Source organism: Homo sapiens, chromosome 12, assembly GCF_000001405.40.
Source record: "Homo sapiens chromosome 12, GRCh38.p14 Primary Assembly".
NCBI classification, from domain to species: domain Eukaryota; kingdom Metazoa; phylum Chordata; class Mammalia; order Primates; family Hominidae; genus Homo; species Homo sapiens.
Genome location: NC_000012.12, coordinates 30010011 through 30028866, shown reverse-complemented (window position 1 = coordinate 30028866; position 18856 = coordinate 30010011). Strand labels below are relative to the sequence as shown.

Below are 18856 nucleotides of genomic sequence, written 5' to 3'. Positions count from 1 at the left end.
TGGAAACTTTTCTTTTTAACCTCATTGTGTCTGGGATAGTTTATGTCAACATTTTTCAAAGTATGTTTCAGCACTTTCTGGACTGTTAAGAAAAGTTTTCCAAAGTATTCTGTTATAAAATATATATTTAAAATATAGTTAAAAAAGGTAAGCAGATTTTTTTTAACTGAAGTGTTTCACAGGGCCTTCACTATGGTCTCTGCTTTGTGCATTTCTGATGGAGGTAGGGGCATGTACAGTGAAAGCATTTCTAAAATCAACTTGATTCTATAACCCATTTTTCTAGAGGCATCTTTTGGGATTGGTGTTCTGTGTGACATTTTTGAGCTATGTTGATATTTGAAGGTAGTAGATAAATTAGTGGACTTTAGTGCAATGTTTGAAAATTTTCTCACTTGCATATTCCTGCTTTCAAAAACAACAACACAAAACTCCATGCAGATATCACTTTTTAAAGAGTCACCTAAATAAAAATTTCTTTGGAACCATATATCTTCTAGTTTTAGACGTTTCCAGTGAGCTGCAGTGGAGTGACAACAGTTAGTGTTCAGGACCAGAAATGAATGGAAAGATAATTCTCATTTTGGTTTCTGAGTACGTTACTTTTGATACCAGGAGTAGAGGCAGAAGTTATAATTATAAACAAGCACAGCTTTTTTTTTTCTACAGTAATGATTGTGGCTCTGCAGACTCACAATAAAGTGAGAGGCAACTCCAAGGCCATTCATGAGATGCTATAATAGGCAGAGGAGAGTTTTACTCTCTATTATATTACATGGTAGCTTCTCCACGAAAAGCCAAAGGTTCACCTTATATACTCTTCACATACTTATTATTACTGTAGTAAGCTTTCAAGTTCTTGAGTAAATCTTTTAAGAACTACACAAACGTACCTGGAAAGATACATTGAATAGAAGTTCTCTCAGTATCTGTTTAACTCTCAATTTGAAATGAGGCCAAAAGAGTAAATAGAAGGTACAGTGAGGGAAGAAACACACACAAATGAGATGGTATATTGTCTGTGTGGTCATTTACTTTAACACTATGTTGAAAGTGTGTGAAATAAGTTATCTTTAATAAAGTGCACTTTAGAGGCATTTAGCTAGCATGTGAAGTACCCAAATCAAGTCTGTGCTCCTTTGGGATCTAAATTAACCTAGATTATTTAGAGAAACTGTGTGTGTGTGTGTGTGTGTGTGTGTGAGAGAGAGAGAGAGAGAGAGAGAGAGAGAGAGAGATTTTAAGGAACTGGCTCACATGATTTTAGGAGCTGGCAAGTTTGAAATTTTTAGGACAGACTGGAAATTCAGACAAGGAGGGACTCTATGTTGCAGGGTTGAGGCAGAATTACTTCTTCCTCAGGAAACTTTAGTCTTCGCTATTAAGGTCTTCAATTGATTGGATGAGGCAAACCTACTTTATGGAGGGTAATCTTCTTTAAAGTCTACTAATTATAAATGTTAATCACATCTAAAAAATAACTTCACAGTAACATCTAGACAGGCATTTGACCAAACCACTGGACAGCATAGGCTAGCCGAAATGACACATGAAATTAATCATCACAGAGTCTACACGAGCACTTCCAATCCATCCCAGAGTATGTTCCTCAGTAGGAAGGTTGTTAGAAAATAATCTTATATTATTGAAATAAGTACTGGGCAAACCAAGCAATTGACTGGCAAGAGTGTACCGGCACCATAGCCCTTAAAAGAGAAAGGCCCAGCAGCCTTATAGATATAGAGCTGGAGCTCAGATTTGACTAGAAGGCGAGCTGGTACTGCCTCAGAGTACTGGACAATCTCAGAGTGAATCTGTCATTCAAGATTCTTGTAAGAGAGCCTGAAGGCAGAGCAGGCTGACAAGAGCTTACAAGAGCTTGCTCTTGAGCTTACAAAAGCAGGTGGTATAGGACTTTTTGTATCTACTTGCTAATAAATGTTTCCATTCCAGCAGAATTTTGTCTAAGACTTTCTTTCATTCTTATATCTCAACTGACTCATGGCCAGAGGCTACAGGTTTCACAAAGGCATTGGCCTTTTGCAGATGGTCAAATTGGCTTATCTTGGTTCACAACAGGAGAACTTTGGTATTCTATATTAAAAAGTGACTCATTGGAAGGAATGCTGGGGATTTCCTGTCTATTCCAGTTCACTACAGTCTTTTTTTTTTTTTTTTTTTTTGGATGATTTGGGTCATTCTTCTCACTCCTATAGATTTAGGTCTTCACTATGTACTAAATATCTTTATGTAGAAATAATTGAATGCCGAGAGTTGTGGGAGAAACAGTCTTACCCTATTTTTTCCTGCGTCTGAAACTCTTAAAGTTCTTAGAGGGATTTTCTAGGAAAGAAATAACTGTCAACTAGTAATTAATGTGTTAGGTGTTCACTCTTTAATACAATTTTAAGACTCATATGAATTGTGAAAAACTTCTTTTTTATATATGTTTAAGAGATGTAAGTTGATAAAAGGCAGTCCTTTTAAAGATGCATTTTTAATGTCATGAAACAGTGAAAATAGGTGTATGGATGTCTGAATTCAGAAAAATAAAGATACAGTCATGTGTGGCTTAATGACAAGAATATGTTCTAAGGAATATGTTGTTAGGTGATTTTGTCCTTGTGCTATCATCATAGAGCGGACTTACACAAACCTAGGTAGTAGAGAGCTTACTACACACCCAGGCTATATAGTTAATATGGTTTGGCTGTGTCCCCCACTAAGTTTCATCTTGAACTGTAGCTCCCATAATCCCCAAGTGTCATGGGACGGACCCAGTGGGAGGTAACTGAATCATGGGGGCAGGTTTTTCCAGTGTTGTTCTTGTGATAGTGAATAAATCTCACAAGATCTGATAGTTTTATAAAGGGCAGTTCCCCTGCACAGGCTCTCTTGCCTGTCACCATGTAAGACATGCCTTTGCTCCCCCTTTGACTTCTACCATGATTGTGAGGCCTCCCCAGCCATGTGGAAGTGTGAATCAATTAAACCTCTTTTTCTTTATAAATTACCTAGTCTCAGCTATTTCTACATAACAGTATGAAAATGGACTAATACAGTAAACTGGTACCAGTAGAATGGGGTACTGCTATTAAGATACCCAAAAATGTGGAAGCAACTTTGGAACTAAGTAACAGGCAGAGGTTGGAGAAGTTTGGAGGGCTCAGAAGAAGACAGGAAGATGTGGGAAAGTTTGGAATTTCCTAGAGGCTTATTGAATGACTTTGACCAAAATGCTGATAGTGATATGAACAGTAAGGTCCAGGCTGAGGTGATTTCAGATGGAGATGTGGAACTTGTTGGGAACTGGAACAAAGGTCACTCTTGCTCCACAAAGAGACTGGTGGCACTTTGCCCCCACCCTGGAAATCTGTGGAACTTTACACTTGAGAGAGATGATTTAAGGTATCTGGGGGGAAAGTTTTCTAAGCAGCAAAGCATTCAAGAGGAAGCAGTGCATAAAAGTTTGGAAAATTTGCAGGCTGCTGATGCAACAGAAAAGAAAACCCCATTTCCTGGGGAGAAATTCAAGCTTGCTGCAGAAATTTGCATAAGTAAAGAGGAGCCAAATGTTAATTGCCAAGACAACGCGGAAAATGTTCCCAGGGCCTCTCAGAGACCTTTATGGTAGACCCTCCCATCATAGGCCTGGAAGCCTAGGAGAAAAAGAATGGTTTCCTGGGCTGGACCCTGTGCCCCCCTGCTCTTTGCAGCCTTGTGATGTGGTGTTCTGCATCCCAGCTGCTTCATCTCCAGCAGTGGCTAAAAGGGGCCAAGGTACAGCTTGGGCCATTATTTCAGAGGGTGCAAGGCCCAAGCCTTGGTGGCTTACACATGGTGTTGGGCCTGCTGGTTCACAGAAGGCAAGAATTCAGGTTTGGGAACATTCACATAGATTTCAGAGGATGTATGGAAATGCCTCAATGTCCAGCCAGAAGTTTGCTGCAGAGGTGAAGCCCTCATGGAGAATTTCTGCTAGGGCAGTGCAGAAGGGAAATGTGGGGTCAGAGACCTCACATAGAGTCCCCACTGGGGCACTGCCTAGTAGAGCTGTGAGAAGAAGGCCACTGTCCTCCAGACCCCAAAATTGTAGATCCATTGACAGGTTACAACATGCAGCTGGAAAAGCCACAGACACTCAATGCCAGCTCATGAAAACAGCCAGGAGCGGGGCTGTACCCAGTAAAGCCACAGAGATGGAGCTGCCCATGGCTGTGGAAGCCCACCTCTTGCATCGTTGTGACCTGGATGTGAGACATGGAGTCAAAGGAGATCATTTTGAATCTTTATGGTTTAATGACTGTCCTATTGGATTTCAGACTTGCATGGGGCCTGTTCCCCCATCATTTTGGCCAATCCAATTTCTTTCTATTGGAATGGGTGTATTTACCCAATGCCTGTACCCCCATTGTATCTAGGAAGTAATTAGCTTGCTTTTGATTTTACAGGCTCATAGGCGGGTGAATGCTGGAATGAATTAAGACTTGGGGGACTGTTGGGAAGGCATGATTGGTTTCAAAATGTGAGGACATGAGATTTGGGAGGGGCCAGGGGCAGAATGATATGGTTTGGCTATGTCCCCACCCAAATCTCACCTTGAGTTGTAGCTCTCATAATTCCCACATGTTGTGGGAGTTAATTGAATCATGGGGGCAGATTTTTCCCATGCTATTCCCATGATAGTGGATAAGTCTCACAAGATCTGATGGTTTTATAAAGGACAGCTCTCCTGCACACACTCTTTTGCCTGCCACCATGTAAGATGTGTCTTTGCTCCTCCTTCTCCTTCCACCATGATTGTGAGGCCTCCCCAGCCATGTGGAACTGTGAGTCCATTAAACTTCTTTTTCTTTATAAATTACCCAGTCTCAGGTATTTCTTCATAGCAGTATGAAAATAGACTAATATTATAGTAGAGCCTATTGCTCCTAGGCTACACACCTGCACTGCATGTTACTGCACTGAATCCTGTAGGCCATTTTAACACAATGGTATTTGCTTATTTAAACATGTATAAACATGAGAAAGATACAGTAAAAATACAGTATTATAATCTTGAGGGAGCACCATCATACATGTGGTCTGTCACTTACTAAAGTCCCATTATGTGGCACATGATTGTATTTGAGACATTTTAAAACACAGGATCTTTTCTTTATTTTATTAGTCTGTTAACATTTCCTGTCTAAGCATTAGAATGCAGGTATTTGAGGGCACAATTAAAAGTGGAGAGACTATTCATTCAAGTGAGTTTATTTTGAAAATAGCTTTTTAACTACTTCTTAAGCACCTAAGCAATCCATCATACTTTATCACCATGTACTTAGAAGTAGGAAAGTAGATCTTGTCCAAAGAGATACACTATATTTTGATTTACGAGATACTTTACTTTTGGATAATACTTTGATTCATAATAGGAATCAACTACACTATTAATAGTAGTTCCCTGCAAAGCTCAGTTATACAAATAAATCTCCCACATTTTTCTGAGCAGCTAAGATAGATGCTTAGCAGATTTATTGTTTCTTTCATACAATGTGTCCTGGAAGTAAACCAGAAATTTCTCTGCAAGTTTGTTGAATAAAGCTTGCTGAATTCTTATCTGCCTTAAGGAAACATTGCTCCAAATTACTAGTATCTTCACCAAGTGAATAAAACTAGAATTTTAGTCTCTGTCGTTTGTTGATTTTAGCTGGTAGAATAAAGACATTTTCTATGTGTCGAAATTTAGTGACAAATGAATGACTCAAGTGAGAGTGACCCAGAAGATTTTGGTGGACAAATATTTTCCTGAGCAGTACTAAGTAATGACAGAAGGCTACTTGTGCCAGGCATATACATTTTCATAGGAACAAAACTATTAATGAATGCGTCTAATTTGCACAGATGTACATTAGCTCTCTTCATTTTCTCTACCCCTGTTTTCTCCATTTAATCAAATCTAACTTCACCAATGGCTCCACTTGCAAATTTAAGCATTCTGAACCTACGATTTCATGGTTTAGGACTTGCCTGACCATCATCATCTCCTTTGCTGCCAACCAGACTGAGGTGTGTTGAACAAGATGTAAGGCCTGGGTCTCTAAGCGGCTCCTCAATTGTAGTGCACCTTCCTCCTCCCACTGAGCTCTGGATTGGCTCTGAGCACAGGCCTGGCATGTGGATGTGACAGGGGTCCTGGTATTTCATCCCATCTCCTGCTCGATGCTTAGTGTACCCAGCTGTCTTTGCTCCTGCCACATGTGAACATATCTCTCTTAGACCAATACCACCATTTAGACTTCCCAATTCCACCTGCCTGAGTGAATGAATACCCGGCATTTACTGCCTGGTCTCAGCACACATTCCCCTCCTGTTGCCCCAGAAGCCATACTGCCTGTGATGATTAATTTTGTGTGTCAACTCGTAGGATGTTCTTGGATAAGAGTAACAGTTAAATCAGTGAACACTGAGTAAAGTAGATTCTCCATCATAGTGTGTGTGTGTGTGTTCTCATTCAAACAGTTGAAAACCTAAAGAGAACAAAAATTAGTCTCCTTGAGCAAGGAGGAATTCTCCAGCTGACTGCCTTTGGACCTCATGTACGCTATAGGCTTCCCTGAGTCTCCAGCCTGCCAGCCCACACTGCAGATTTGGACTTGTCAACCTCCGTAATCCCATGAGCCAATTCCTTATAATAAATCCCTTTCTATATATGTACACATCCTGTTGGCTCTGTTTCTCTGGAGAGTTTTGATGAATACACTACCTTGTGCTGGAGTCCCTCAAACTGCAACACTATAATAATTGTATGTGTTCATATTTGCCTCTGTATATGTACATTATCTACTGTGGGAAAATGAAGCTTCATATTGACTTTGGATTAGAGGTCTGATAGATGATTTTATTTTCTATAATCATAGCAGAGAGTCAGCCAAAATGCCATCTAGCAACAGACCTCAGATCTTTGCAGTTGTTGTTTCTTCTGTCTGAAATGCTCTTCCCTCTTCCCCTTATAATTGTTTGGTTATTCCTATATTTTAATCTAGATCTATACTTGAATGATCTTTTCAGAGAAGCTTTCTCTAACTACTGCCTAAAATAGCACTTTCTGTCATCCCACATAGCTTTTTCTGGATTGCTATTCTGTCATGACACTTACAGCTATCTGACATTTTATTGTGCATGTGTGAATTTATTTGTTGTCTAGCTCCCCTGTATCATGTAAAGTCCATGGACTTTGTTTTGTTCACCAATGTATCCCTGGTGCCAGGAGAGGGATTTGCATAGACTAGATTTTGGAAAATATTTGTTCAGTGAGCAAATAAATGGATGCACTTTCTATTTATTAGTAGTAGAATAATTGGCCCAAGGCTTGCTTACTTAATTTGAGCAAAGTCAGAATCCTAAAGCAAACGTTATGTGATTCTAGTGAAAAGTATAATACCCTGTAACAAATATGTTACAAGATTGAGAGATCATGAGAAGATTATCATAAGGTATTACTGAGAAATTAACAAAAAAACTTTATGGAGTGAAGAATTGTGTACTAAAGGGAAACATTGTAGTTGTGATGACAAGTAATGGAGTTTGTATGGATTCAATGTTTAGGAAGACCTTTATCCCGCCTGGCTGATTTCCAACCATGCTGTTTGTTCCTAGAGCCTCTGTGGTTACTGGAATGTACATGTTCTCCAGCCTTCTCTAGCTTTTCTTATTGAGAAGAGCAATTTCAACAGAATATTTGCATTATGTATGTTAAGATAAATAAAAAGAGAAGAATATTCTTATATAATTGTTTTTATTCCTAAGGTAAAATATTAAGGCTGCAGACACATGCCTGTGCCTGTTATTCCAGATGCTGAGTGCTAACATAATCCTGTAAATTAATGGGACAGGCTAATTGGTAAACACCTCATATTCTTTTGTTTTGTTTTGTTTTGTTTTTAGATTCAAGGGGTGCATGTGCAGGTTTGTAACATAGATACATTACATAATTCTGAGTGCTAAGATCTGGACACCTATTGTGCCCATCACCCAAATAATGAGCATAGTTCTTGATATGGTTTGGATTTGTGTCCCTGCCCAAATCTCATTTCAAATTGTAATCACCAAAGTTGGTGGTGGGGCCTGGTGGTAGGTAATTGGTTCATAGGGGTGGATTTCTCTGTTTGGTGCTGTTCTCATGATAGAATTCTCACAAGATCTGGTTATTTAAAAGTCTGTGGTACCTCCCCCGTCTTCTCTCTTCCTCCTGCTCTGGCCATATAAAACTTGCCTGCTTCCCCTTCACCTTCCACCATCACTGTAAGTTTCCTGAGGCCTCCCAGCCATGCTTCCTATACGGCCTGCAGAACCATGAACCAATTAAACCTCTTTTCTTTATAAATTACCCAGTATCAGGCATTTCTTTATAGCAATATGAGAACAGACTAATACAGTACCCAATCGGTAGTTTTTCAACACTTGCCTTCTCTGGAATCCCTACTGTCATATTGCTTATGTCCATGTATACCCATTGTTTATCTTCCATGTGTGAGTGAGAATGTGCAGTGTTTGGTTTTCTGTTTCTGCGTCAATTCACTTAGGAGAATGGCCTCCAGCTACATCCATGCTGCTCCAAAGGACTTGACTTTATTATTTTTTATGGCTGTGTAGTATCCCATGGTGTATATGTACCACATTGTCTTTATACAATCCATTGCTGATAGGCACCTAGGTTGATTCCATGATTTTGCTATTGTGAATAGTGCTGTGATAAACATACAAATGCAGGTGTCTTTTTGGTAGAACAATTTATTTTCCCTTGGGTAGATACTCAGTAATGGGATTGCTGGGTTGAATGATAGTTCTATTTTTAGTTCTTTGAGGAATCTCCAGCTGCTTGCCACAGGAGATAAACTGATTTACATTCCCTTTCTCCACATCCTTGCCAACATCTGTTATTTTGTTGACTTTTTAGTAATAGCCATTCTGACTGGTGTGAGATGGTATCTCATTATGGTTTCAAATTGCATTTTTCTAATGATTAGTGATGTTGAGCATGAACCTAATTAAACTAAAGAGCTTCTGCACAGCAAAAGAAACTAACAACAGAGTAAACAAACTACAGGAGAAAATATTTGCAAACTGTGCATCCAACAAATGACTAATATCCACGATCTCATATTCTTGACATGTAGTATAGTTGCATCTCGCTAGGTTATAGCATTGCTATGTCTGCATTCAGCTGGGAAAGTAAAGCCATAATGTTCCATGTTAGAGACACACAGTATAGAGACATTCCTAAAACACCATGATCCAGTCTGCCTCGCAGCCCCTGCATTGCAGTGTCTCATCTGCTGGCAGAGTGCATGTTGGCTACATAACAGACAAGCAGTAGACAGACTGAAATTACTTTCCATATTTGAGAATGGCTCTGGGGGCTAAAGTCAGAAAGCTGTGAGAAGAAGACAGGCTTTGGAGTCACGCAAACATCAAATGGAAACCAGCACTGTCTCTCACTGTTTGGATAAACTTGGCTAAATTATTTAATCTCCTTAAGCTGCAGTTTCTATATGTTTAAAGTAGGAATAATTTTACTTACCCGGTAAGTTTACCATGAAGGTATAAGGCATATAAGAATTATATTGTGAGATGATAGTTTTTCTCTTACTGTCTACCAGTTGCAGCTTATTAGATGTTTTGTTTTTATTTGTTTGTTTATTGTTGGGTTTGGTTTCTTCCCTTTGACTTGTCTGAGTCTAACCCTCATAGCACTTATAGAATTTATAATTTGGAAGAGATCTGATAGGACATTGAGGCCAACCTCCTCCTTTCATCTCCTTTTTCTGTCTTCTTAAAACACACATGTGTGTGCGTTTGCACATGCACAGAGTTCTCTGCTTGCTTCCCCATTTCTGACTGTAACCACATGTAATGACGATAAAGTAACTTCATGTTATCAGATACTCCCCTGATGTCCACAAAGCCCTGAAATGGTTTCTTTCCAATTGGAAAAAGATTTATTCATGTTTATAATTCACTAAAGTCCTCCTGCTTCTCCTTAGCAATTGCTTAACTCAACCTGTGAGTGGAGTTTCAGTGCTGCACTCTGTCCTTTTCCCATCTTGCCTTTTCTAGAGAAGTGAAAAAGGCTGCATCTTGCTTCCCTTTGAACGTTCGAAAACATATAAACAGAATATATTTCACATTTCTATAAAGAGCTATTACTTGTTTATTTATGTTTGTAGTAAAAAAAAATTTATAGCTGCACTATCCCACCCTACTTTACCCAGAAAAGTCATGTTTTGCTCTTGGAAGATCAACAGTTCTATCTTTAATTGAGGTATAATTTATGCATAATAAAATGTACTGATTGTAATTTTCAAGAGGTAAGGAGTTTAAACTCATGACCTAGTTTTTGAGAATTTTAATCCTACTGATTTAAAACAAAATAAGACCAAACCAAAAGGGTGATACATAGAGATCTGCTTCTGGCCCCAAGAACAGCAATGTAAAGTATCACTGTTTGAACACTCTGAATTTTCATCTATCTTCAGCTTTCTGATCATTATTGCATGTGGTAGTGCCTCTTGCAGAAGAAATTTGGCCTTTGGAAAAGCTAAATTGTAAAATTTGTAAATTATAAAATCTGCAAAATTGTAAAGGCTAATTCATTGGTGGTATTAACAAGTATAAGGTTAGTGAATTAAAAGTTTTGTGATCTTTTAAATAAACCTGGCCCTCTGCTTGACTCAATTAATAGGACCCAAAGAACTAAGACATATAGCAATTTTGAATGTAGATAATAATACTTACTTCTATCACTTTGCTGCGAGGATCAAATAAGAATTTAAGTACCTGGCATAAATTTAGATTGCCAGGCTGCAAGATTCATGAATAGGAGTCACTTAACTAGCAAATATCCTATTTGATGGCTCAATCTCATGTTACTGGATTTATGAACATATTTCTCAAGAATGTCAAGAAAGAATTGTACAATCTGATGATGTATGGTGAGTTTCAGTTGATCAAAAATACTTATCATTTTCTATTTAAAAGCTTGTTTTGATTAATGAAAACAAGAAATATCTCTTAGACATGTTGATTCCTCTAAGCAAAAAAGTTATTATAGTCATTAGGGAATAAGGAGTAACAAAGAACTATGAATACAATTAAAAAATTTCAAACAGCACATGCATTACGCTGATGAAAAATATTTTCTGCAAGTGTCAATTCTGTTAAACTATTATGAGACACTCTTGTGCACTCAGCCTGAGAAGATGCCACCTCAACTCATGTCACATCTACTGTGTGTTAGTGGATTACAGAGATGGAAGAGAACCTTAGTGAGAAGTTCCAGAGAGCCACACTAGTGCCTGAAAATCCTGGTGATAAACGTACAACCTGAGCCACTGATTTTTCCTAGCATATCACATTGTTATTGATGTGGTAGGACGATCGTTATTGAGGACCTATTAGGTATGTGCCTGCTCCTGAGATGAGAAATTTGAATAGATGGTGCATGCCCCAAAGAAACTTACATAGTAACAGAAAACACAGCAACATAAACGATAGAAAGCAGTGAGTTAAGACCAACAATAGAATTTTGTACTGGGTACTGGAAATACCTTGAAGAGGTGGGTGGTGGAGAGGGAGGTGTGTGTGGAGTAGTGTAGTCAAGGAAGCTTTCCTGGATAAGGGAAGGTGAGTCTCAAAGGACGAGTGGAAGATCTAAAGCTTCCATGACCTGTTTGCTCAAAGTCACCACTGTCTTGCTACAACATAAAAACTCAAATATGCTGTTTAGATCTGTATCCTCCGAGTTTCACTCTATGGATTGTAATCGATGGCAAGGAGGAAAGAAGCAGTATCTTCGTTGCTGCGAGAAGAGAGGCAGAAAGGAGAGGAGACCCAAGAGAGGCATGCTGTGACCCCCTAATTGCAGGCTTGTCTGTGTGTTGAGGTTTTGCCTCATACCTGTTGGGCAAACCTTTTCTGAACCGCTGTGTCTAATACATGTTGGTGGGACAGATTACGAATTTTCAGAATATGTGGGCTTTGAAGTAAATCCAGTGGGGAGTCTAAGTAAGCAGAGACTCGCCGTACTGGTTGTCAGCTTGGCAAGTGTCTTAATCCAGGGCCTGAAGGGAGAAGCTTTACTGTCATCAGCTCACGGGAAGATGGATAAATTGGATGCAGACAGCTAGAGCCTAGAGCTGCCAAATAAATTCTTAAGACTGAAATATAACTGTGCTATGCGCACAACTGTGAGAAATAACCCCACACCCCAAATACATCCGGATCCCGTTTAGAGTTAGAACATGTTGTATTAGAAATAATAATATTAATTAATATTATGAGGCCTATTTTCTGCCTTTGTGGGAAGGCAGCAGCCTGCAGTGGATGAAGTTCATGTTGTATGGGGTAGGGTGGCTGCTGCTTCTCTTGTACGTGCACCCCACACTGCAGGCCATGACTTGTGGCTGGGAAGAGTGAGTAGGTCTGGGTGTCTATGTGGATTTTTGTGTGTCTGTTTCTGTCTCTGTGCAGGTTTGCACGTTTGTGTGCATATATGTCTTTGTGTACATGTGTGGATGTATATGTACGTGTGTCTGTCCATGTCTGTCTTGTCTATATACGTGTGGGGTAGTATAAGTCTGTGCATCTGTTTGTTTGCCTATCTTTGTGCACATGTGTGGGCATGTGCATGGATCTGTGTCTGCCTTCATCATTTACATGAATGGAGATGTGTGGGGTGTGTACGCATCTGTGTGTGTCTGTCTGATTGTCCATGTCTGTATTGTCTGTGTATGTGTAGGAGGATTGTGCATATGTATGTGTATGTGTGTGTGTGTACCTTTGTGTACATATGCAGACACATTTTATATCTCTGTGTATGTGTCTGTGTGTCTGTCTGCTTGTGTCTGTGTCTCTGTGTGTGTTTCCCCAATGTGCCCTGTGCTCTGCAAGCTGTGCTTTCAGGTGACTCTTCAGCCCCAAGCTGGGCTTCCTCTGCAGTGATTTACAGCCTGAGAAAACCTGCTGCTCTTCCCTGAGTTGCCTGGCCAGATGTGTGGCTGTGCTGCTGGTGTCTGAGCGACTCTCTGGGCTTATCCTCAGTCACCTAGGAAACCCTGACAGGAGTGTTGAGAAAAAATATTTACCTCCTTACAGCTCAGAAAGACTTGCCAGAGCTAGAAAATGAAATTCAAGCTCGCTAATACCTACTACAGGGCATCTATGAATATCACACCATTTATTTTCACAGGCTTACTTGAGGTACAATAGGTCAGCAATGATCAACTTTGTTAATATGTAGGTAATAAAGTATTAAAAAATTTAAAAGTCACATGGTTAATCAAGGGCAGACAAATACTGTGTCAAAGTTGGCTGTATCATTAGCTGTTTTAATTCTCATATCTCTTCCCTTCTTAGTGTAATTAGGAATATGTACATTTCCATTGGTCTCTTTTATCTGATATGAATGCACTATGTTTATTTTGGAAAATGCCACAAATGCCTTCTTTCTGGTCCCTCACAGTGTGTTTGAGTTTCATCTGAACTTATTTGGCTGAAATAAGCTGTAATTTTTTAGACGGTTTTGTCAAAATAAGATATAAAAATGTTTAACCAATTTTTGATCAAAGTTTGATCCCAGTAGCAAGAGTGGGCTCTCCTCCCAGTGTTCCTTATCCTTGAATATGCAGACATATCTCAGTGACATATTTTTGCCTAATTTTCCAATTCTTTACTTGGCAGTTGCATGTGCAACTTAAAGAAATATCATCTTAAATATTTTAAAAACAACTTGGCTAATTGGGGAGGAGGGAAGAAAAATAATGTGGTGAAAAGTAGAATGTGATGTTAAAGAAGAATTCATGACTATTATTATTTTCCAAAATTATCCTCATGGAATTTGGGTATTTTGTCACGGTCTTTAATTGAATGCTTTAAAAGTAAAGAAAAACACAGATTCACTCCCTGCATCTTCATGCCAGTGCCCTAGAAAAAGTGGAGACTGGTGGCCTCCACAGCTCACAGCTCACACTGAAATCTCCACCCTCCTTGTCTCATCATGGCCACACATGATGGCGTAACATAACAGATCACGGACTTTCAGGGCTGAAGAGTCTCTGCAATCACTCAGCCCCACTGAGCCCTGAGCCTCCGTAGGCATCTAAAGACAGGAAGAGAAAAAGTACAGACCCACGACTTGCTTCTGGACCTGCTGCCTCTTGATCTGTGCACTTTCTTCCTATGCAATGGGACTCTTGGGCAGATTCTGAATGGCCACTGCAGAAAGGTTAACTCCACAGCAGGGAACGCAAGACCCTTACTTTCTCTCTTCTGCCCACATGTCTAGTTCAATTTTCTGCCATTCCTCTCTTGCCACATTACACTGAAAAAATACAGAATAGCCCCTAAATGCACTGTGGCATTTTATGTCTTCCTGTCTTTGTACATTCTGACTTCTGCCTAGTATGCTCCTACTTATGGATATAATTGAGAGGTGCTGTCTTAGTCCATTTGGACTGCTGTAACTAAGTACCATAGACTGGATGGCTTATAAACAACAGAAATTTATTTCTCACAGGCTGGAAATCTAAGATCAGGGTGCCAGCATGGTCAGGTTCTGATGAGGGCTCTTTTCCAGACTGCAGGCTGCTGACTTCTCGTTGTATCCTCCGCAGCAGACAGAATGAGAGAGAGCTCTGTGAGATCCCTTTTATAAGGAAACTAATTCCATTCATGAGGGTCCCACCCTCATGGCCTCATCTAAACCTTACTATGTCTCAAAGGCCCCACTTCCTAATACCTTCCCATTGGGGGTTAGAATTTCAACTTATGAAATTAAAGGGTATAAAATTATTCAGTCTATATCAGGTGGCAAGCAAACTCTCCAGCTCAAACACTCTCCCAGACTGGCACCTAAACCAATAACATTAATAATCAATTTTCTTTATATACAGCTTTGCTTCTCCTTGTGCTTCTCCTCTTCCCCCATAAGTCATCTGAGAAGACTGCTTAAATATTCCACGCTGCCTTAGTGTGACTCAAATTTCCAGCTGTTTTGCTGCCAGGAAGAACCAGGTGCCTTGGGAACAGTGAGGCTGAAAGGAGCAGGAAGCAAAGAATGAGGCTGTTGAAGGTAGGGTCTCCTTTGATTAGGGTTTTACTTAGGCTCAGCCTAGGGACTCTATTATACTAATATCTGATGTTTTTGGATGGTAATGTTGTGTCTGTGTCCCACATGTGAATGTTGAGGTGTCAGGCTTTCATTTGAGGGCTTTCTCTGTTGAATCCAGCACACTGAAGGTTTACATTGGTCTTTACTTATCCTGCCCTTCAATGAAAATTTAAAAATGTGGAGACAGTTGAAAGCCAATAAAGAATTAAATAAAAATTAATTTTTCCTTCCTGACTGTACCTTTCAAAACCTGGATGTTCTGGTTATCAATAAACAAGTGGCAAACCATGAAAGTAGTGGCTTATGATGACAACATTTGTTTTGCTCCTGAATTTGCAATTTAGGCTGGACTCAGTGGAGATAGCTCATCTCTGCCCCATTTGGTGTCAGCTAGGGCAGTTCTAAGATGGGAACTAGAAACATTCCAGGGCTCCTTGACTCACAGGTCGGGCTGGGCTGGAGCTGTCAGCGCGATTACCTCTAGGTGGCCTCTTCCAGGGGCTCGCGCTTCCTCAGTTATGGCTGAGTTCAAATGGCAAGCATCCTGAGAAAGGGATCAGGCAAACTGCCCTATCTCCTTTATGACCCAGCCTTAAAAATGATGCAGAATCTGTTCTGCCACTTTCCATTCATTTAGGCACAAAGCTCCACTCAAATTCAAGAAGGAGCATATGGGACCAGAAATACTGCTGTGCCATTTTTAGAAAATACAATCTGCTACACTGGAGCATAAATAAATTTTAATTGACTTGTTATTCCTGGTTTTCCCTTTCATTCCAGTCAGCAAACTCTTCTTCGGGTAGGTTTGTGGTGGCCAAGAGAGTCTTTTACATGCCTACATAATTATTGCATTTGATTTCCTCTTTAATGAGATCTGCTGTCCATCACCATCATTTATTTGTTCAGAGAGAACAACTTTTGTGCATATAAAAATTAGGTCTATAAGGATTTAAGGTTTTTATTACAATGGCTTTAAAAACAGCCTCACAGACTGTTGTACAAGATGAAATTCAAGCCCATTCACTTTAATTTATAATGGTTTGTGCACAACTGAAAGATTTATAGCAAATTTGAAATATTGATTTGAGTACATGTAGGTTTTCAGCAGCAAAAGTTTTTGCAAAGTTTTTCAGCAGACATGTACATTTTCTGAAATGTAATTGAAGTAGTTGTCTATGTTGATTTGCATAAAATGATTGTGTTTGATTATGTATCATTTTAACTAATCTTTCTTTTTTCCAAAAAAAAAAAAAAACAAGGAAAATCTCATGCCAATTTGGCCTTGACAAACATAAGGTTTTAAAGTTACAACAGTGTTCAGATATTGGTGATTACATAATGCCACTTAGATTTGGAATATTTGTACTGTTCTGAAGCTTGTCTTTTGTCTCATTAACCTGCAATCATCCTGAGTTCCTCTTCAGATGCCTAGAAAATTCCTAAATCAGGAGATAAATTGGTTCTTCCATTAATCGGCTGTATGATTATAAGCAAGACACAAAAGTTCCTTGTGCCTTGTAAATAAATTTTAATTGTCTTGTTAATTCCTGATTTTCTCTTTCATTCCAGTCAGCAAACTGGAATGGGGTCATTTGACTAAACAATCTCTGTAATGATTTACTTTATGAATGATATATCAGAATGACATTTACTGAAAGAGAGTGCTATAAACCAAAATAATTTGAAGAAATAATTTTTTATTCTGATGTTGAACTAGGAATTAGAAATGACAAAACCATATATTTTACTTTGAAATGGATTTCAACCCAGCTACCTGGGAGGCTAAGGTGGGAGAATTGCTTGAGCCTAGGGGTTCAAGTCCATCCCGGGCAGTATAGTGAGATCCTGCCTCTTAAAAAAAAATTTAAGACACTTTTAAAACGTAAATTTATCAAGTTTTTTCAAATTTATCAAATTTATCCATTTATTAAATGGATATCAAAACTTTTTTATTTCCTAACAATCAATTACTCCAACTCCCTTGAGACTTTTCAGTGTCTTATTCAAATGATTTTATTTAGGGAGCAGTCAGCCCTTACCTTGTTTTATATGACTTCACTACAATTTTGGAAACAGATGGTTACTTAATCAATACAATTTGATAAGGGCAAAAATAAGACAAAGTTCTTTGCATCTTAAATGTGTCTTAGAATAATAGTTTTGGGAACCCTTGCCAGTAATGAGGGCTGTACCCTTATTACATACAGGCGAAAGGAGACAGGGACTTTTGTTCTAGGCCAGCTGCTAATGCCCAGATTTTCTTTGGGAGTTTCGATGCTTGTGATAGATTAAATGTGGACTTCATTAAATATTTATGACCATTCTGAAAACTTTTATTTCAACTTATATTTATAGACCTACTCTAAAATAGGCACTCAGTACTAGAATTTGGGGCTAAGAAAGAAAATGGCACTCAGTGCATGTCCTCAAGGAATCTAGTGGCTGTCAGGTTGTCAACACTTAACCAGAACACGTAATAAGCTATAATATCCCTTAAAATGTTATTATATTAATTTTCTTTTGTATAATTCAAACAATTCTGATATTAAAAATAACTACAAACTTTTTCTAAGCCCTTATAATGTCAGATATAATACTAAGCACTTTATGTTCATTACCTCAAATAATACCCATTTTAATGGGTGTTTTGAGCATGGCTTCTACAGTCAGAGGTTCTAGATTCAAACCCCAGCTTCACCAGCTGTGATAATGACTTCAAGCCTCATCATAATGAGGTGTTTTGAGGGTTAAAATACTTAGCACACTGTCTAGAATAGTAAAGTTTCCATAAATGCTCATTAATTATAATTGCCATTGTTATGGTCAGTTCTATCAGGTAGGTAATACTGAAGAGAAAAGTGTGGCTTTGATCAGTCGAGTAACTTGCCTAGTGCCACCACTCTTACATAGCCTACTTGGAATGTTTATTTTTGTTTAATGCCAAATTCCTTAACCTCCAAACTATATTTGGAAATTATCCAGTTAATTTATATAGTTCACTTAACCTGTATAGTTATATTGTAAAACTTAGTAAAATATTTAATTTCTTTCAACTCTGTGAAGTGATCAAAACTTGATCCTTCCAACAGTCTTGTGATCAAAACCTCATGTTGTCTGGTTTTGTGTGGCAAAGTTTGCTAGTGAGCAAACTGGTTTCTCATCAAGAGTTGTGTGTATCTTTCTAAAACCAAAAAGAAAAGAGCAGGAATTATGAGTGTCCTGTTTGAACAGGCAGGAATCTTTGTGGCTTGGATTATTCTTTCCAAAACTTTGTTCTCTTATTCTTATGCTAAGATTACATATTTATGCCTCTTTTTGTCTTTTATAAAACCCACATTACACTGTGCTAAATGTCCAAAATTTCTTAGGATTAATGAAGCAGAAATAGTTGATGAGGGTTCTCAAAGTAAAATTATAGAATGTGATCAGATATGCATTCACATGCCAGATTAAGGGTGATTTATTCACTTCAGTGCCAAAGAGCAAATTCCTAAGCTACTTTGGGAAAACATGGCTGAGAGGAATGGAAAAATAGACTGGAATGAGAAAAACTGAAACAACATCTCTAGATAGAATTAATCAAAAATAACACAGAATATGAGAGTAGAAATTGGATAATATTGCTAGAGAAAGAGAAAAATTAAAAATAGCTATAAGCTTAGAAAGAGATGCCATTTGACTGCTTAGTTTTTAAATTCATGC

The 18856-nt window shown here is 38.7% G+C and overlaps 1 long non-coding RNA gene across 4 annotated transcripts in view, besides 1 other annotated feature; it reads left to right on the top strand.

Moving 5' to 3' along the window:
• The window catches only part of LOC105369715 (uncharacterized), a 182759-nt gene that overhangs the window by 22630 nt on the left and 141273 nt on the right, over positions 1 to 18856 (top strand). For all 4 annotated transcript variants that reach the window (XR_931474.1, XR_001749060.1, XR_001749061.1 and 1 more), the window contains exon 3: positions 14937 to 15115. This is a non-coding gene — a long non-coding RNA (uncharacterized LOC105369715). The remainder of the gene's footprint in view (positions 1 to 14936; positions 15116 to 18856) is intronic.
• Positions 3215 to 3384: an enhancer, noted in NCBI's record as "experimental_28029 CRE fragment used in MPRA reporter constructs". NCBI's record gives its function as "activates a minimal promoter by MPRAs in K562 erythroleukemia cells, with activity observed for both the introgressed and non-introgressed 12:30178501 variant alleles {active_cell/tissue: K562}" and the evidence as "EXISTENCE:reporter gene assay evidence [ECO:0000049][PMID:34662402]".